The following is a 19700-nucleotide window of genomic DNA, read 5'->3' as shown; positions in this document are numbered from 1 at the left end:
GCAGGAAAATCACTTGAACCCAGGAGGCAGAGGATGCAGTGAGCCGAGATCACGCCATTGCACTCCAGACTGGGCAGCAAGAGCAAAACTCTGTCTAAAAAAAAGAAAACTGTACAAACACATTTTATACTCTTTGGTGTGTGTATATATATGTAGATTTAGAGACAGGGTCTCACTCTGTCACCTAGGCTGGAATACAGTGGCACTATTGTAGTTCACTGCAACCTCAAACTCCTGGACTCAAGCGATCCTCTCACCTCAGCCTCCTGAGTGGCTAGGACTACAGGCATGTGTCATCACACCTGGCTAATGTTTGGATATATATATATTTTTTGTTGTTGTTGTTTTTGAGATGGAGTCTTGCTGTGTTGCCCAGGCTGATCACGAACTCCTGGCCTCAAGTGATCCTCCCACCTTGACCTCCCAAAGTGCTGGCATTATAGGCATGAGCCACCATGCCCAGCCTGATATATTTTAAAAATATAACCTGTAGTATTTTTAAGAGAGGATAGGAAATGTTTTGAAATTAGGTAAAGGGGATTACGGTATTTAAAATCATTGCCTAAGAGTATTTAGAGAATATTTCACTTTCTACGTTAAGACCTCTCCATTAAATCAGTTTTAGAGTGCAAGTTGGGAGAAAGTACAGAGACCTTAAAGAGCATCTCTGATATAGGAGCTTAAATGAAGTGAAGGAGACTCTGGGTCCCGCACCTGTAGTGTTCTTCTTCTGTCCTCGCTCCCTCTTTGCTTCCTTAAATTTTTAGTCATCCACTCTCAAGTCTGGGGCCTTGTCCTAGGGGCTGACTGGACAGAAGAGCTAATGCCCCTGTCATGACACAGCATTTTTCAAACTCTTGCTTAGAGACTTTGTTATAGTAGCCTCCTAAACTAACTCATTATCAAAATTCACTTCAGGTCCAAGTCATAATCTGAGATCTTTTAAGGAAATCCCTTATTCATGTGTTTAGACAACCTAATTGGATACATAGTTTTAAAATTTTTAGGGTAATCTCTTTTTTGGTTTCTCCTAGGCCTTAGTTAATACTCTAATTACATGTCTTTATTTCAGTCTTTTTTCCTTCCCATACATACCAAGCTGCCCTTGATGTGCCTTAATTATTTGGAATTCATCTTGATGTATTGATTTTACCTTTCTATTTCATGGCTATTATTTTTAGGATGGAGCTAAAGTAGTCTGTGTGATAATGCATTTCACATACATTGCATGAATTAATGGCAGATATAGCAAAAAATCATGAAATTAATACATGGATGACAGATGCAGTGTTTCATTATAAAGGTAAAAGTAAGGTGTTCTCTTTGATGTCCTCTGATTGCATCTACTTGTAATCCTCAAAAAAAAAAAGATTTATATGGTTTTACTAGGTAGGTAAAAGCAATCTGGAAAATTCATCTAGGTAAATAATTTGTTCAAATACAAAGATGAATAAGATGTAGATCCTACCCCTCAGAAGCAGCAGTATAACAGAGATGGACAAACAAATTAAAAATTGCAGTATGGGGCCAGGCACGGTGGCTCATGCCTGTAATCCCAGCACTTTGGGAGGCTGAGGCAGGTGGTTCACGAGGTCAGGAGATTGAGACCATCCTGGCCAACCAGGTGAAACCCCGTATCTACTAAAAATACAAAAATTAGCCAGGCATGGTGGCACGCGCCTGTAGTCCCAGCAACTCAGGAGGCTGAGGCAGGAGAATTGCTTGAACCCGGGAGGCGCTGGTTGCAGTGAGCCGAGATCACCCCACTGCACTCCAGCCTGGTGACAGATAAATAAATAAAAGCTCTCCCTCTCCCCTCTCCCGTCTCCCATCTCCCCTCTCGCTCTCGCTCTCTGTCTCCCTCTTTCTACCGTCTCCCTCTCTTGCGGAGCCTGGACTGTACTGCCATGATCTCGGCTCGCTGCAACCTCCCTGCCTCGGGCTCCGGTGATTCTCTTGCCTCGGCCTGCTGAGTGCCTGGGATTCCAGGCACACGCCGCCACTCCTTAGGGGTTTTTGTGTTTTTGGTGGAGACGGGGTTTCGCCGTGTTGACCGGGCTGGTCTCCAGCTCCTGGCCTCGGGTGATCTGCCCGCCTCGGCCTCCCGAGGTGCTGGGATTGCAGACGGAGTTTCACTCACTCATTGCTCAATGTTGCCCAGGCTGGAGTGCAGTGGCGTGATCTCGGCTCGCTACAACCTCCACCTCCCAGCTGCCTGCCTTGGCCTCCCAAGGTGCTAAGATTACAGCCTCTGCCCGCCCGCCACCCCGTGTAGGAAGTGAGCAGCATCTCTGCCTGGCCGCCCATTGTCTGGGATGTGAGGAGCCCCTCTGCCCGGCCGCCCCGTCTGGGAGGTGAGGAGTGCCTCTGCCCGGCCGCCACCCCATCTAGGAAGTGAGGAGCATCTCTGCGTGGCCGCCCATCGTCTGGGATGTGAGGAGTGCCTCTGCCCGGCCGCCCCGTCTGGGAAGTGAGGAGCGCCTCGGCCCAGCCGCCCCGTCTGGGAGGAAGTGGGGAGCACCTCTGCCCGGCTGCCCCGAATGGGAGGTGAGGAGCGCCTCTGCCTGGCCGCCCCCTCTGGGAGGTGAGGAGCGCCTCTGCCCGGCTGCCCCATCTGGGAGGAAGTGAGAAGCGCCTCTGCCTGGCTGTCCCGAATGGGAGGTGAGGAGCACCTCTGCCTGGCCGCCCCCTCTGGGAGGTGAGGAGCGCCTCTGCCCGGCCGCCCCGTTTGGGAGGAAGTGAGGAGCACCTCTGCCCGGCTGCCCTGAATGGGAAGTGAGGAGTGCCTCTGCCTGGCCACCCCCGTCTGGGAAGTGAGGAGCGCCTCTGCCCGGCAGCCACCCCGTCTAGGAAGTGAGGAGCGCCTCTGCCTGGCCGCCCATTGTCTGGGATGTGAGGAGCCCCTCTGCCCGGCCGCCCTGTCTGGGAGGTGAGGAGCGCCTCTGCCCAGCTGCCACCCCGTCTAGGAAGTGAGGAGCATCTCTGCGTGGCCGCCCATCGTCTGGGATGTGAGGAGCGCCTCTGCCCGGCCGCCCCGTCTGGGAAGTGAAGAGCGCCTCTGCCCAGCAACCCTGTCTGGGAGGAAGTGGGGAGCGCCTCTGCCTGGCTGCCCCGAATGGGAGGTGAGGAGCGCCTCTGCCTGGCCGCCCCCTCTGGGAGGTGAGGAGCACCTCTGCGCGGCCTCCCCGTCTGGGAGGAAGTGAGGAGCGCCTCTGCCCGGCTGCCCCGAATGGGAGGTGAGGAGCACCTCTGCCTGGCCACCCCCGTCTGGGAAGTGAGGAGCGCCTCTGCCTGGCTGCCACTCCGTCTAGGAAGTGAGGAGCGTCTCTGCCTGGCCACCCATAGTCTGGGATGTGAGGAGTGCCTCTGCCCGGCTGCCCCGTCTGGGAGGAAGTGAGGAGTACCTCTGCCCGGTTGCCCCGAATGGGAAGTGAGGAGCACCTCTGCCCGGCTGCCCCGTCTGGGAAGTGAGGAGCACCTCTGCACGGCCACCCCGTCTGGGAGGTGAGGAGCGCCTCTGCCCGGCCGCTCTTCGTCTGGGAGGTGAGGAGCGCCTCTGCCCGGCCGCTCTTCGTCTGGGAGGTGAGGAGCACCTCATTGTCTGGGCGGTAAGGAGCGCCTCTGCCCACCCGCTCTTCATCTGGGAGGTGGGGAGTGCCTCTGCCCGGCCGCCCCGTCTGGGAAGTGAGGAGCGCCTCTGCCCAGCCGCCCCATCTGGGAAGTGGAGGGCACCTCTGCCCGGCCGCTCTTCGTCTGGGAGGTGGGGAGTACCTCTGCCCGGCCACCCTGTCTGGGAGGTGAGGAGCGCCTCTGCCCGGCCGCCCATCGTCTGGAATGTGAGGAACGCCTCTGCCCACCCGCCACCCTGTCTGGGAGGTGAGGAGTGCCTCTGTCCGGCCGCCACCCCGTCTGGGAGGTGAGGAGCACCTCTGCCCGGCCGCCCCGACTGGGAAGTGAGGAGTGCCTCTGCCCAGCCGCCCCGTCTGGGAAGTGAAGGAGCGCCTCTGCCAGGCCGCCCCATCTGGGAAGTGTACCCAGCAGCTCCGAAGAGACAGCGACCACTGAGAACAGGCCATGACGACGATGGCGGTTTTGTCGAAAAGAAAAGGGGGAAATGTGGGGAAAAGAAACAGAAATCAGATTGTTACTGTGTCTGTGTAGAAAGAGATAGACATAGGAGACTCCATTTTGTTCTGTACTAAGAAAAATTCTTCTGCCTTGGGATGCGTTAATCTATAACCTTACCCCCAACCCCCTGCTCTCTGAAACATGTGCTGTGTCCACTCAGGGTTAAATGGATTAAGGGCGGTGCAAGATGTGCTTTGTTAAACAGATGCTTGAAGGCAGCATGCTCCTTAAGAGTCATCACCACTCCCTAATCTCAAGTACCCAGGGACACAAACAGGGCCGAAGGCCAAAGGCCGCAGGGACCTCTGCCTAGGAAAACCAGAGACCTTTGTTCTCGTGTTTATCTGCTGACCTCTCCACTATTATCCTATGACCCTGCCACATCCCCCTCTCTGAGAAACACCCAAGAATGATCAATAAATACTTAAAAAAAAATTAAAAAAAAAATAAACGCTGCATTTCCAAAAAATAAATAAATAAATAAATAAATAAATAAAAATAAAAATAAAAATTGCAGTGTAGCAGCAGTATAGCATGGTGAGTGCAACAGTGGAAACAGGTACAGGTAAATGGGTAGCCTGGAAAGGCACTTGCTGTCGTATGGAGCAGTGAGGAAAGTCTTCACAGAGGAAAGGATGCTGACCAGCAGGCTTGAGAGATGAGAAAAAAATGTACAGAAAGATAGATTGGGAAAGGGAGACCTGGGAAAGGCACATGCCAAGATACAGAGACCTAAAAGAACACAGTGTATTTTGAGTCAACTGTGAGCAGCTTATCACTTAACGTGAGTGGGAAGTAGAAAGAGAGAGAGGCAGGAGTCAGGTGTGAAAGCTTTTGTATGGAAAATGAAGGCATTTATTTAGATCTCATTCTGTAAGTGACTATCAGCCTTTGATGGATGTTAAGCAGAAGAGTGACATGATCTCTGGGGGCAGTGCAGAAACGGTTTTAATAGGGGAAGAATCAGCGTCACATCACGACTTGTTGGGCAAAAGGAAAATGGAAAGAAGTTAGGGGAGAAGTTGAGAATTTCTATGTTTCGTTTTATATACTTTCAGGAAATTAGGTTACATCTAGACTTTTCCCAGAATGTTTTTCTTTTCTTTTCTTTGAGATGGGGTCTCACTCTGTCGCCCAGGGTGGGGTGTAGTTGGCACAATCTCAGCTCACTGCAGCCTCGTCGGCCCGGGCTGAAGCGATCCTCCCACCTCAGCTTCCCGAGTCACTGGGATTATAGGCACATGCCACCGCACCAGCTAATTTTTTTGATACTTTTTGTAGAGACCGGGTTTCGCCACGTTGCTTAGGCTGATCTCAAACTCCTGGGCTCAAGAGATGCACCCGCCTCTGCCTCCCAAAGTGCTGGGATTATAGGAGTGTGCCACTGTGCCTGACCAAGTTTTCCCAGAATTTAGTATGTTGACGGGAATAGTAGAAGGTGATTTGGAGCCAATATACGAAGTTTCTGAAGAAATTGTATTATTTAGTCTTTATTATAAAGTATTCATTAACTGTGCCTATATGGTCTTTCAGGCAAACAGATTTTTACTTTGTGTTAAAATACTACAACAAGCAGCATATAGAAGTCTATTGGGGACGTGGCATTGATGAGGCAGACAGCTGCAGCCATGTTTTATTTTCCAATTAAAGTGGCACATATGATAATAAACTGCAGAGGCAGCAGAATGAAATATTTAAACTTTTTTACAGTTAATATCCTGCCAAGAAAATCTCAGATAACAGTGTTATTTTAGGGGAATTGGGTGGACGGTATAATCTGTATAAAAGGAGCCTCCTTTAAATATGAGTTTTAGAAGTGAATGTTCTGTGTAACCTAATTGTGGCATGTTGCTTACTTTTGTGCTTATTTATGATTAAATCTTAGACTTGGTAGTCTTTGGTGGATATTATTCTACCTTCCAGAAGAATGTATTGGTATGCCAACTTATTTTTGTAATATAGAGTCCTGGGTCTGGTGCTGCCTGTGTATTGTGAATGTACTCTGTATCTGTATCTGACTGCATAACCAGACCCCTAATATCAAATGTTCTGCCTCATGTTTATTTGGGAATATCCTAACATCTTGGGGATGTGACTTACTTAGCTAATTTGCTAACATCCATAAGCTGTGTGCTCTTAGCCTTTTAGTATCGTAGCCCATCAAAAAGTTCTTTTTTTTTTTTTTTTTTTTTGAGACAGAGTTTTGCTCTTGTTGCCTAGGCTGAAGTGCAATGGCGTGATCTTGGCTCACTGCAACCTCCGCCTCCCAGGTTCAAGCAATTCTTCTGCCTCAGTTCCCATGTAGCACGGATTACAGGCATGCACCACCATGCCTGGTTAATTTTGTATTTTTAGTAGAGACATGGTTTCAACATGTTGGTTGGGCTAGTCTCAAACTCCCAACCTCAGGTGATCCACCTACCTTGGCCTTCCAAAGAGCTGGGATTATAGGTATGAGCCACCGTGCCTGGCCTCCATCAAAAAGTTCCGACTCTGATCAGGAAATTAATGTTAACATCTTAGCAAAAAGGATCCAGAAGCATCAAAGGAGGGAGTTCTTGCCAAGAGTACATAGAGATGTCCAGAAGGAAAGTTGACATTACTTGATAGTGTGACTTTATAGTAAACATGAGGGAGGAACTGCAGAAATGAAGGACCACAGATGACCTTGGAACAACTGGAGGTTCCTTTCTGAAAGGCCCAATGATATTGATGTAATGAAACTTGATTTGTATTTGAAAAGATGTTTTTACACTCTTGTCACAAAGTTTTTTTCTTTTTTGAAGTTCCTTTCATTCTTTTGAAGGGTTAATTCCTTACTATTTTCTGCTTTGACACAGAAATCTCCTGCAAAGAAGCTGAGCCATGCAATTAGTAAATCTTTGGGGTGTGTACCCACGAGAGAACCCCCGCATCCTGTTTTTCCTGAGCAACCAGAGAAACCACTTGACCTTGCACATATAGTGTAAGTATACCCCTGGATGTGCATGTGGATCACACTGAAATGGGGGCCTTGTGAAATTCCTGTGGATCAAAACCAGGGATCACTTAACATGACCATTCAACTTCTCAGGTTTTTACTTTCTTTTGTGGGAACTTAAGACTTCAAGCTTTCTTCTCTGTAAATCACCGTTAAGTGTCCACATGGAAATCTAGCTCCTGATTGCTGAAGCCTGAGTAATATGGCAGCCTCCAGAAACATGAGCCCATTGAAGAGCCATTATTGTTCTGGTTTTAGCTGGGCTGCCTTTTGTGATTTTGGGTTCATTCCTTAAATCAGTGGCAGAGATCTTTTTCTCTATAGCAGTAATGCCCATAGGGACTTAAATTAATGTAGACAACATGGAAATGAAAATCAACTTAATTTGCTGTTTTTTGTATTGAGGGAAAATTAGGAAACATAAGACTATATTCTACAAATAAAACTGGTATTTTGTATGTATTTATTTATATGTATTTAGTTGAATATTCATGCTAGTAAAGCAAAGCTAGAGGAGAACAATAAAGTTGAGAAATAGAGAAAGAACAAAGTAGGGAGGAAGAGAAACAGTGAAGGGTAAGATTCAGCCTGTAAACTGCTTTCTTCACTCTGAATTAAATGATGATACTATGCTTCCCTGATGAATAAATTTGGTAGAGTTTTGGATCACGAATCTTTATCAGGTGTCAGAAGTTTTTCTGTTGGAGTGGGCATTCATTTTCTTTCACCTCCCTGATGGAAGGTAGTTTGACTAAATGAGCTCTAGAGAATCTTGATCTTTTTTCCTTTTTTCTTTCAATTATTTAGATACCTGTTTATATTTATTAAAATAATCCATGCATGTGAATTACAAATTCATTCATCCATAAGAGCTTATAATGAATGCAACATACCCTCCCACACTTCGCTGTCCTTTGGGTTTTAAATCTACTAATAGTTATCTCTGTATTTCTAAATAATATGTTTGGAGCACCATTTCTTGACTTATCAGTTTTAGACATTATTATCATTATTATTTTTTGAGACAGGGTCTCGCTTTGTCACCTAGTCTGGAGTGCAGTGGTGTGATCTCGGCTCACTGCAGCCTCCACCTCCCAGGTTCAAGTGATCCTCCCACTTCAGCCTCACAAGTAGCTGGGACTATAGGTGCAGGCCACCATGCTCAGCTAATTTTTTTTAATTTTTAGTAGAGACGGTGTTTTGCCATGTTGCCTAGGTTGGTCTTGAACTCTGGGTTCAAGTGATCCACCTGCCTCAGCCTCCCAAAGTGCTGCGATTACAGGCATGAGCCACTGCGCCCAGCCAGTTTTAGACATTATTGACTTACTTTTGTGGTGTAATGAATCAGCCTCATCTCTAACTCTACATACCAACCCATCCCTGTTTTTCATAATTATATCACCATTTTTAAGTTGGTTACCTTTTTAATTTTAAATAATATTTTAAAAACTCTATTTCTTAATAACTTCTTTTTGACTTCCACTTTGTAAACAGAAAATTAGCACCTTCTGTCTACTTTTCCTTTGCCTCCTAACGTCTGCCATCTGTGCCCTTATTTTTATGTTGTCAAAGCTGAGAATGTTTCTATTCTCTTCGATAACCATAACTAAGTCTTCTGAGATTGATCAAGGGTTAAATCTAATAAAGCCAAATAATGGCATTTACAGTTAGTATCCTTCATTACACAGTCACATAGTGTGCTGCAATTCTGTGGATCCTTTTGTGCAGTTACTGTCTCATTGGAGTTCACTGGGCTCTTCTTTCTTACCTACCATTGATTACCGAAAATCATTCCTATTGAATTTTTAACTGGATTGATTTTCTTGTACAGTTGTTGTTTTTCCTGCGGTTTCTCATTGCTTTCTTCTTCTTGGGAAAAAAGATGTCTCCCACCCCTACACAGTGTTCCATAGCACAGTTTATCTGTTCCCCATAATGCAATTTTTTTTTTTGTTAAATCTGTTAACCTTTTTCCCTTTTGGGTCGTGTTTTTCCTTGCCTGCCTCTCAACATTATAGTGGTTTTCTCCTTACTTTTTTCTTTAGGTTTTAAAGATGGCCCTTTCACATATGTCTTTAATTCATTTGGAATGGATTTTTGTGTGTGATGTGATGTAGAATATCCAGTTCTCTTCCCCAGCCGCTCGCTTTCTGCATTTGAATAATAACTTGTCTCAGGGTCATTCATTAGATAATTCAACATTTCCCCACTGACTACAATGCCACCATTGTCAAAAATGAAGTTTCCAAATACGCACAGGCTGGCTTCTGGTTTCTTTATTCTGCTCCTTTGGTCAAATTGTCCATCCCTATGCCAATATCTCACTGTCTTAATTACCATAAGGAACTAAGTAATCTACTTTTTCTGGAGTGTCTTGTCTATTATTAGCTCTTTGCTCTTTCATATAAAGTTTAGACTCATCTTATTGAGTTCCTCATAACATTTTGTTGAGATTTTTGATCAGAGATTCACTGAATCTAAAGATCAAATTGGGGAGAATTGACATCCTTCTGGTATTAAAGCTTTCATTCCATGAATGTGTCTTTGCATTTATTTAAATATCTTTTTATACCTTTAAGTAAAGTTTTATAATTGTTCCCCAGGAAAGTCTTTATATATTAGGTTAACTCTCATGTCACTTGACATTTGTAATTGCTGTTACAAAAAGTATCAGTAGTGTCCTTTTTCCTACAGCTATTTAAGATATACTTTACATGCAATAAAATACACCTACTTTAAGTGTACAATTCGATGTGTTTTGGTAAGCGTATGCTGTTATGCAAATGGAATATTTTCTGAATTATATTTCTTAACAGTTTGTTACTAGTGTATGGAAATGCAAATAGTTTTTGTATTTTAGTCCACTGTCTATGTAGTTATCTTGCTTAAATTGTTCGTTAATTCTGGTACCTTATACTCAGATTCTTTTGAATTTTCTATAAATAATTATATAATCGGCAAATAATGACTGCTTTGTGTCTTCCCTTCTGTACCTTATACTTTTGAAAATTAATCATACTTTTTGCAGGGCTAGCAGCATACTATGCTGGCTAGCCCCTCCGGTGCAATACTGAATAGAAGTGGTTTAGAAGGCATTTTTGTGTTATTACTAATCCCACAGAGAATGCTTTCAGCATTCATTTAGTATGTTATTTGATGTAGGTTTTGTAGAAACTATTTATCGGGTTTAAGAGGTTCCCTTTTATTTCTAGTTTGCTAGAAATAAAAATGCTTTCTTTTTGTCATGAATGGATGCTGAATTTTATCAAAGAGTTTTTCTGTATTGAGATGATTATATGATTTTCTCTATTGATGATCAAAGACTTTTTCTTTATTCTGTTATTGTAGTGAATTACATTAATTGTTTTTTAGCATCATCTTTACCTTCCCAGAATAAATCTGAGTTGGCCATTGTTTGAATACACTGCTAGGTTTTGTTTGCTAATATTTTGTTTAGATTTTGGCTATGTTTTTGAGTGAAACTGGCCTGTAACTTCCCTAGATTTGGGGGTTATTTTTATTTTGTTGTTTTTATCACCCAGTGTGTGATTCTTGCAAAATGGGGGAGCATTCTCTCTTTTCATATTTTTGGAAGAGCTTGTTCAAGATTTGGAAGGGTTATTTTCTTTGTAAATTTTTTATGAAACTCACTAATGGAGCCATCTAAGCCTGAAGATTTCTTTGTGGGAAGATTTTTAACTGGTAATTCCATTTTTAAAAAACAATTAGACTATTTTTATTGTTTATTTATTTTTGAAGTTACCTTGGAGTATTTTGTATTGGTAGGAATTTATTAATTTTCTCTCAATTTTAAAGGTTATTGATACAACGTTCATAATATTTTATTGTCTTTGTAAGTCCACAGTATGTGTGCTAATGGGCCTTTTTTATTTCCACTCTCGTGTATTTATGGCATTTTTTCTTTCTCTTTTTTTTTTGAGACAGAGTCTCAGTCTGTCGCCAGGCTGGAGTGCAGTGGCAATCTCAGCTCACTGCAACCTCCCCCTCCCGGGTTCAAGTGATTCTTCTGCCTCAGCCTCCTGAGTAGCTGGGACTACAGGCATGCGCTAGCACGCCCAGCTAATTTTTGTAATTTTGGTAGAGACGGGGTTTCACCATGTTGGCCAGAATAGTCTTGATCTCTTGACCTCTTGATCCACCCCCTTTTGGCCTCCCAAAGTGCTGGGATTACAGGCGTGAACCACCGTGCCCAGACTCCTTTTCTAATTTCTTTAAAGGCATGGTTAGCTTACTCATTTCAGGTTTTTTAATTTTTTTATTTTTTCCCCCTAGTAGAAGCATTTAAGGCTGTAAATGTATCTGAACCCTATCTGGGTATTACCCAAGTTTTACTGTATAATATTTTTTGTTGTTTACTTCTAAATATTTCCCAAGTTATGTTAGGATTCTTCTTTGAGAAGTATACTTTCTTAATTTCCAAACATATAGAGGTTTTCTAGTTGCCTTTTTGTTATTAATTTATAACTTACTTTTAGTCTGGAAAATGGTCTGTATTTTTCAGTTTTTTAAAATTGGTTAAGACATTTGTTATTAACATCATTACTATGATATGTGGACTTTTTCCACCATTTTATTTGTGCTATTTATCATATTTTTTAAAATTCCCCTTTATGGAAATGTCCCACTCGAGTCACCTTTTCCCCTATAGATAACCATTCTAATGTGCTCGTCGTGTATGTTTTTGTTAGCATACGTTCTTAAAAAGTATTGTTCTGTATGTCCCTTTAAGATATTTATTTATGGCTGGGCATGGTGGCTTACACCTGTAATCCCAGCACTTTGGGAGGCCAAGGTGGGTGGATCATCTGAGGTCAGGAGTTTGAGACCAGCCTGACCAACATGGTGAAATCCTGTCTCTACTGAAAATACTAAAATTAGCCAGGCGTGGCGGCCAGTGCCTGTAATCCCGGCTACTCGGGAGGCTGAGGCAGAAGACTCACTTGAACTTGAGAGGCAGAGGTTGCAGTGAGCTGAGATCGCGCCATTGCACTCCACCCTGGGTGACAAGGGTGAAACTCTGTCTCAATTAAAAAAAAAAAAATATATATATATATATATATATATATATATATATTTATATATATTTATAAGTGCTATTGTGAACAGCATTTTACCTGTCCGTTCTCCCTGAGGTGGACACGTTGGTTGCTTTTAGACCTCTGCCTCCACATATAATGCCACAGTGTATGGCATGTTTCCCCCATGGAGCTGCATGAGAGTTTCTATGTATTAATATCTAGGATACAGTTCTGGGGTCAAAAGTTCTGTGAATCCTGACCAGGAGAAGTATGTTGGAGAATCCAGTAGTTTTAGCATAGAATTTCACTTAATCTCTTCGTTTTCATTCAGGCTCCATACCCCTGCCTCCACCTGGGGCTCCTGAGCTCAGGGGCTTTCTGCTTAGTTTGACTTGAGAGTAACCTCTGGTTTCCTGGTGGGCCTAGAAAGGAGTAGTCATCTGGCAATGTGGTGTTGGGAGTGTGGCTGGAGGTGGTGGGGATTGGGTGGGAATTTGCTGCTTCTTATCCATTCTTTCAACCAGTCCTCTTATCTTAATGCAACCTCTCACCCCTCCTTCAGAGGTTCCAGGCCTTTCTGTGGCTCCACTTCCCTGTCTTTGGGTGAACCTGACTTCACGTTTCTTCTATTTAAAAAGCCCTCCCCATATCGAGTTTTCTGTTAGAAATTTAAGTAAAAATGCAGCTGGGACTGAGAGCTAAGAATTAGAACTTGGATTTTTCCTTATTAATTCTTATTTTATTCTATATATTTGCCTTGGATTTTTTTTTCTTTTTTTTTTGAGACGGAATTTCGCTCTTGTTGCCGAGGCTGGAGTGCAATGGAGCGATCTTGGCTCACTGCAACTTCCACCTCCTGGGTTCAAGCGATTCTCCTGCCTCAGCCTCCCGAGTAGCTGGGATTACAGGCATGTGCCACCACCCCCAGCTAATTTTATATTTTTGGTAGAGGTGGGGTTTCACAATGTTGGCCAGGCTGGTCTTGAACTTCTGACCTCAGGTGATCCACCTGCCTCAGCCTCCTAGGATTACAGGTGTGAGCCACTGCGCCCAGCTTGGATCTTTTTTAAAAAATGAATAAAACATTGTAGATAAAACTGTGGTCTCCTGTGTCCCTCTTCCTCATCTAATCACGCTTTCCTTTTCCCAAAGGGTAGCCACTATCATTTGTTTGGTATTCATGATTTTATACTTTTTAAACTACTTTTATTAGATATTTATACATCTATAAAAATCAGATATGTTAAAACTGTATATAAATGGTCATGCTCTACATGTCGTTCTGTAAGTTTATTACTTTATTAAGTAATATGTTTTTGAAATTTATCCAAAATCTCCAATGGTATTCCATTGAATGACTTTACCACGAGTAATTCATTCTTCATTGCTGGACATTATTTCCGATTTTTCACTATAGCCTACAGTGCTGCTTTGAGCATTCTTGTATGGAGAAATCCTGTAAGGTAGGAGGCTAACTACTGGGTCCTGGGATATGAATATTACATATTCAGGATAGCACGAGTAATAATATAGTAGCAGATTAACCACCAGATCTCAGTGGTTCAGCTCATAAATGTTTGTTTGTTACTCACACCCAGTCCGTTGTGGACTGGAATGACTGGAGCAGCCAACCTGGGCAGTGGTTCGATGGTGTAGGCTGCTTTACTCTTGTGGCTCCACCATCTTCACACGAGCCCTCCTCATTGCTGCAGCAGGGGAAGAAAGCGTAGGGACAGCTCAGAGCCATTCTTCTGTGCTTTGGTTCAGAAATGACACATACCACCTGCCTCACAGCCCCACCTAATTTCAAGCCTGAATAGCCTTCTGTGTACCTAGGGAGGAGAGGAGAACCAGATACTGGTCAGCTGTAGTAACTTGTTCTACAAATGTCTTCAACTCTACAAGATACTACCTAGAATTCAGATTTTATAGTTTAACTATTTATCAGTCCGAATTACTCCCAAGCCAAGAATATAGTCAGCAGACCACCCCCCCCACCAAAAAAAAAAAAAAAAAAGCTCTGGTAGATTCTCTTTCAGATTTAGATGAGATGTTGAGCAGTTAATCCTATTTAGTTTGACTAGATAACTTTTGAGGATCCTTTCAACTTTGAGTTTCTATGTCTTACAGATTTTTTTTTCTGTATTCAATACGTGTTAATGGTTCCCAAACTTGGCTGATACCAAGATCAATCAGAAGGCCTTAAAAAGTACAGAAGGGCCGGGCACGGTGGCTCATGCCTGTGATCCCAGCACTTTGGGAGGCTGAGGCAGGCGGATCACCTGAGGTCCGGAGCTCAAGACCAGCCTGGCCAACATGGAGAAACCTCATCTCTACTAAAAATACAAAATTAGCTGGGTGTGGTGGTGCATGCCTGTAATCCCAGCTACTCGGGAGGCTGAGGCAGGAGAATTGCTTGAACCTGGGAGGTGGAGGTTGCGGTGAGCCAAGATCACGCCATTGCACTCCAGCTTGGGCAAGAAGAGGGAAACTCTGTCTCAAAAAAAAAAAAAAAAAAAAAGTACAGATGACCAAGTTACTTCCATTCTAGGTCAACTTAACCATAATTCTGGAAGTGGCCTAAGAATCCACCTTTTGAAAAAGTTCCCTAATACATCTGATCAGTTTACAGAACCACTGCATTAGGAGGACATAAAGAGTTTTAGTTATATGAAAGCAAACTAAAAATTCAACACTAAGTATTAAGAAATGTTCAGAGTGCAATGCAGAGTACAAATACAAACATATGAGTAGCAGTTCTTTTTTTTTTTTTTTTTGGAGACAGAGTCTTGCTCTGTCGCCCAGGCTGGAGTGCACTGGTGTGATCTCAGCTCACTGCAACCTCCGCTTCCCAGGCTCATGCAATTCTCATGCCTCAGCCTCCTGAGTAGCTAGGACTACAAGTGCGTGCCACCATGCCTGGCTAACTTTTTGTATTTTTTGTAGAGATGGGGTTTCGCCGTGTTGGCCTAGCTGGTCTCGAACTCCTGACCTCAAGCAATCTGCCTGCCTTGGCCACCCAAAGTGCTGAGATAACAGGCGTGAGCCACTGCACCCAGCCATGAATAGCAATTCTTAACGCTTGCTAAGATTCTTAATTATTCATTAATTCAGCAAATACTTATTGAGGACCTTCTAGCTACTCTGCAAGGTGCTAACAGTGTTCACATAGTACTTTGTGCATTTGCAAATAGGTTTGAGTGTTTGCAAATAGGTTTGAGTGAGAGTGAAGAAGCCAGTTTTATATAGTTGCAGTAGGCTAACCAGAATTTAGTTCATGAGATCCTTTTAATTGAAGGTTAATGCTGTTGATAGACTTTTCTGATAGGCTCACCAATATTTCCTTTTGTGTGTAGCCAGCAAAATAATAAATTAGTACAAATCGAAGTCTGACTCTTTAGAAAATGTGTGGACTCCAGGCCTGGTGCGGTGGCTCATGTCTGTAATCCCAGCACTTTGGGAGGCCAAGGTGGGTGGATCACCTGAGGTCAGGAGTTCAAGACTAACTTAACCAATATGGTGAAACCCCGTCTCTACTAAAAATACAAAAATTAACTGGGCGTCGTGGTAGGCCCCTGTAATCCCAGCTACTTGGGAGGCTGAGGCAGGAGAATTGCTTGAACCCAGGAGGTAGAGGTTGCAGCGAGCCGAGATTGCACCACTGCACTCTATCCTGGGCGACAGAGCAAGACTCCATCTCAAAAAAAAAAAAAAAAAGACCTCAGTTTGCCTTTCTGTAAAATGGTGTTAATAAAACCTGTCTTAATTGTCTCAGGATTTTTTTAAGATAATGTATGAGAAAGTGCTTTTAAGTGGCTAGAAGGCTATAAACTTTTAAAGTCTTTTCCTTCAAATAAAGTTAATCATGTCACAAAAATGTAAACTCCACAAAGGCTGGACTTTATCTTGTTCTCCGCCGAATTCCTATTACCTGAAATACTGCTTGGTGCGTGGTAGGCACCTAAAATGTATTGAGTGAATGAATTATACCCAACACAATTTATATACACAGGCATCTGACTCCTCCCCACCATTTATGTTTTTGCGTTTTGTTTTGGTTTTGGTTTTCTTTCAGAAAGTAATACAAGTCATGTACCTACAGTTTCCCAAAGCCACCACTAGATGTCAGGCATATTTCTTTGTGTTCCTTTCTGGGGGGTGGTGAGAATATTGAGTAAACAAGGTTTTTCAAATAAATTGCAAGACGTGTATTCAAAACAAAGCCAATTCACGTATCAGCACTCTAGCAACTTCTCTTACTTCCAGGTCTCTGAGAGAAATGAGTTGCTTCTTTTGGCAAAAACATATTTATACCACGTCTACCTCTGGATGCCTCTAACAGGCTTCCTGTGATCCGAATTCAAGCAATTTGCTCTTGCTAATTTTCTAACCACAGAGTTCTTAAGCCTAATCTCTTTAATTAGTGGTTAGTCACCATTGCATTTCAGTTTGTGTAGATTTATTTCTGAGGGGAAGCAAAACTTCACGTGTTGGCTTAGTGTGTCTATTACCCTGAATTCTAGCGAGAAAGAGCCCAGTGTCTTCCGCTGCACACACCTGGGATTCATCTTAATAGGGGTGGGCAAACTATAGCCTGCAGGCTAAGGCCAACCTGTCCCTCATGATCTAACAAGACCTTTACATTTTTAAATGTTTGAAGAGAAATAAGAATATTTTGTAAAGTGAAACTTACATGAAAATCACGTCAGTGTCCGTAAGTAAAGTTTTATTGGGACTGGCCTCAGTGGCTCACCCAGCATTTTGGGAGGCCAAGGGGAGTGGATCACTTGAGTTGGGAGTGGATCACAGGAGTTCAAGACCACCATGGCCAACATAGCGAAACCCCGTCTCTCCTAAAAAAATAAAAATTAGGCGGGTACAGTTGCATGCACCTGTAATCTCAGCTACTCAGGAGGCTGAGGCACGAGGATTGCTTGAGCCTGGGAGGCAGAGGTTGCAGTGAGCCGAGATTGTGCCTTTCCATCCTGGGTGACATAGCAAGACTCTGTCTTAAAAAAAAAAAAAAAAAAAATTATTGGGACACAGCCATACTCACTCATTTTTATGTTGTTTATGGATGCTTTCGAGCTCCAGTGGCAGAATTGAGTCATTAACGACTGAGACCAAATGGCCCTTAGAGCTTATATTATTTACTATCTGGCCCTGAAAAAGTTTGCCAACCCCTGCTCTCAAAGAAGGGTGTCTAAAAACTGCAAATTTAGGGCACTTTGTGCTTCTTTAGACTCTTTTTTCTGAATGATCATCATCTTTGGTTTGATGGCCCAAGTTGTTTTTTCACGCAGCGGTGAAGATAACACCTTTTGCTGAAGGACTCAGATAAAATTTGTTACCTAGAAACCAGACTGCCTCTTACTGACAGAAAGTCTTTTATTTGTTTCTTGCATCCTTTGCATACATAAATATATAGCATGTTTGAACAGCTAAGCCAACCAATTTTCTCCGCACATTGCATCAAAACAGAATTAACCTAGATAATTAAAAAATACTGTTATACTGTTATTTAAATTATACTGTAATTATAAAACTGTAATTACAGTAATACTTTAATGTGGCTCTAATTTGTTCTATTTTAACTGCTCTTCTGTTTAATACTGACTTAGACTCTGTGTATACATTACTTTGATATGAACTTAAAAAATCTGTTCTCTTTGTTGTTTTTTTCCTATACCTCATAAATCTTCTTTTTGAACTTTAGACAATTATGCTTTAAGTATCGGTGCTATCAGTGCTTATGAACTTTTTGGTAAAACACAAATATGCTTGTTTTCTACTTATTCATAACAACTTTAAATATATCAGCAGAATTCACCAGACCAGGAATAATATAAGACCATTTGTAACCCTGTGAAAGAACAAGTCTAACTTCTTGTTTATGTTGTTTAATTATTAAAGCACATTTTTGTGACACTTCTTTTAAAATGATGGATGAGTCTGGAGTTAAAAATGGCTTTTGTGACAAGGGCACTTATGGTGAATTGCCTTGCTGTTTACAGCCATTTTTAATTGTTTTGTTTGTTTGTTTGTTTGAGACGGAGTCTTGCTCTGTCGCCCAGGCTGGAGTACGGTGGCAGAATCTCGGCTCACTGCAACTTCCACCTCCCGGATTCAAACAGTTCTCCTGCCTCAGTCACCCAAGTAGCTGGGTCACACACCACGCCTGGCTAATTTTTGTATGTTTAGTAGAGACGGGGTTTCACCATGTTGTCCGGGCTGGTCTCAAACTCCTGACCTCGTCATCCACCCGCCTCGGTCTCCCAAAGTGCTGGGATTACAGGCGAGAGCCACTGCCCCTAGCCTACAACTTTAATAAGCCAATTTTTTTTTTCTGAAGAGAGTTATTAATTGGTTTTATTGTATTCTCCAATTATCGGGTGTTACAGAATTCATAATATTGATAAGTTAGTCTGGGTTGAAACACTGTCTTCCACAGTATTTATTGAGTGTGTATTGTGAGTTGGGCTTTCTTCTTTTGATGGGAGACTAGAGTCTTATTTGAGGAAACTGACAAGATGATACTTTTTTCTTAGACCTCTAGGTGAATCTGATGTTCCAATTGCTTGAAAGGAGTATCAGATTCATTCTAGGTATCTTGATCTCCTGAGACTGAACCTGTTTGGAAGATTGTAATCTTGAACCATTTCTGACAGGTAAATATGCAGGTTGAGCATCTCAAATCTGAAAATTCAAAATCTGGAATGCTCCAAAATCCGAAACTTTTTGAGTGCCGACGTGACAGTCCAAGGAAATGCTCACTGGTGCATCTCAGACTGTAGATTTTTGGAATTCGCATGGTCAACCAGGGTAAATAGAATGCAAATATTCCAAAATCCAAAATATGAAACACTCTGGTCCCAAGCATTTTGGATAAGGGATTCTCAACTTGTACTTTGATTCCTAGATCATAGCTCATCTGATATTAATTGTCTTGCATTTTGCTGTAATGATTTTTTGGGTTATTTGTTTTTTAGAGACAGGGTCAGCACCATAAGACAGAGTGAGAAAACAAAAGTAAAAAAAAAAAAAAAAAAAAGTAGAAACAGGGTCTTGATCTGTCACCGAGGCTAAAGTTCAGTGACATGATCACAGCTCATTGTAACCTCAAAACTCCTGGGCTCAAGAGATCCTCCTGTCTCAGCCTCCCAAGTAGCTAGGACTACAGGCACATGTCACCACGCCTGGCTAATTTTTATATTTTTTTGAAGTGATGGGGTCTTGCTATGTTGCCCACGCTAGTCTTGAACTCCTGGCCTCAAGAAGTCCTCACACCTCAGCCTCCCATAGCACTGGATTATAGACATGAGCCACTGTGCCTGGCCTGCTGTAATGATTTTGAAAAACTTACCGTTGGTGACATGATTTTGCTTACCAGTGGGCCATTAGGCACCTTGGGGTCTATTCAATTTGTCTTTTTGGTAAAAGAAGAGTTGCTTTTTGTTCTCCTGTATATATAGCCTAGAATGTGAAGGCCATTAGGTCACAGCTCATCTGATACTCTTTCTGGCTTGCATTTTGCTGGGATGAATTTGAAAACC

At 42.8% G+C, this 19700-nt stretch overlaps 1 protein-coding gene across 30 annotated transcripts in view, besides 7 other annotated features; it reads left to right on the top strand.

Moving 5' to 3' along the window:
* The window catches only part of DTNB (dystrobrevin beta), a 296335-nt gene that overhangs the window by 135012 nt on the left and 141623 nt on the right, over positions 1–19700 (top strand). For all 30 annotated transcript variants that reach the window (NR_147180.2, NM_001320935.2, NM_001351393.2 and 27 more), the window contains one exon: positions 6969–7093. Coding sequence is in view for 28 of the 30 variants with exons in the window: in NM_001320935.2 (NP_001307864.1) it covers positions 6969–7093 (125 nt within the window). In the remaining 2 variants the exon portion in view is untranslated. The remainder of the gene's footprint in view (positions 1–6968; positions 7094–19700) is intronic.
* Positions 260–404: an enhancer, noted in NCBI's record as "145 bp 2:25761103 sequence used in MPRA reporter constructs". NCBI's record gives its function as "activates a minimal TATA-containing promoter with rs61671081 allelic activity by MPRAs in C283T melanocytes {active_cell/tissue: C283T}" and the evidence as "EXISTENCE:reporter gene assay evidence [ECO:0000049][PMID:36423637]".
* Position 332: a transcriptional cis regulatory region, noted in NCBI's record as "rs61671081 or 2:25761103 MPRA-significant variant associated with a GWAS melanoma risk locus at 2p23.3". NCBI's record gives its function as "allelic transcriptional activity by MPRAs in C283T melanocytes {active_cell/tissue: C283T}" and the evidence as "EXISTENCE:reporter gene assay evidence [ECO:0000049][PMID:36423637]".
* Positions 2623–3452: an enhancer, noted in NCBI's record as "H3K27ac hESC enhancer chr2:25757983-25758812 (GRCh37/hg19 assembly coordinates)". NCBI's record gives its function as "activates a minimal SCP1, AML or CMV promoter by ChIP-STARR-seq in naive and primed H9 embryonic stem cells {active_cell/tissue: H9 hESC(naive and primed)}" and the evidence as "EXISTENCE:reporter gene assay evidence [ECO:0000049][PMID:30033119]".
* Positions 11987–12131: an enhancer, noted in NCBI's record as "145 bp 2:25749376 sequence used in MPRA reporter constructs". NCBI's record gives its function as "activates a minimal TATA-containing promoter with rs6546237 allelic activity by MPRAs in UACC903 melanoma cells {active_cell/tissue: UACC903}" and the evidence as "EXISTENCE:reporter gene assay evidence [ECO:0000049][PMID:36423637]".
* Position 12059: a transcriptional cis regulatory region, noted in NCBI's record as "rs6546237 or 2:25749376 MPRA-significant variant associated with a GWAS melanoma risk locus at 2p23.3". NCBI's record gives its function as "allelic transcriptional activity by MPRAs in UACC903 melanoma cells {active_cell/tissue: UACC903}" and the evidence as "EXISTENCE:reporter gene assay evidence [ECO:0000049][PMID:36423637]".
* Positions 13776–13855: an enhancer, noted in NCBI's record as "active region_15461". NCBI's record gives its function as "activates an Ori minimal core promoter by ATAC-STARR-seq in GM12878 lymphoblastoid cells {active_cell/tissue: GM12878}" and the evidence as "EXISTENCE:reporter gene assay evidence [ECO:0000049][PMID:35858748]".
* Positions 16159–16208: an enhancer, noted in NCBI's record as "active region_15460". NCBI's record gives its function as "activates an Ori minimal core promoter by ATAC-STARR-seq in GM12878 lymphoblastoid cells {active_cell/tissue: GM12878}" and the evidence as "EXISTENCE:reporter gene assay evidence [ECO:0000049][PMID:35858748]".

This window comes from Homo sapiens, chromosome 2, assembly GCF_000001405.40.
Source record: "Homo sapiens chromosome 2, GRCh38.p14 Primary Assembly".
Taxonomy (NCBI): domain Eukaryota; kingdom Metazoa; phylum Chordata; class Mammalia; order Primates; family Hominidae; genus Homo; species Homo sapiens.
Note: the sequence above shows the minus strand (reverse complement) of the source record. Positions and strands in the feature narration are given on the sequence as shown.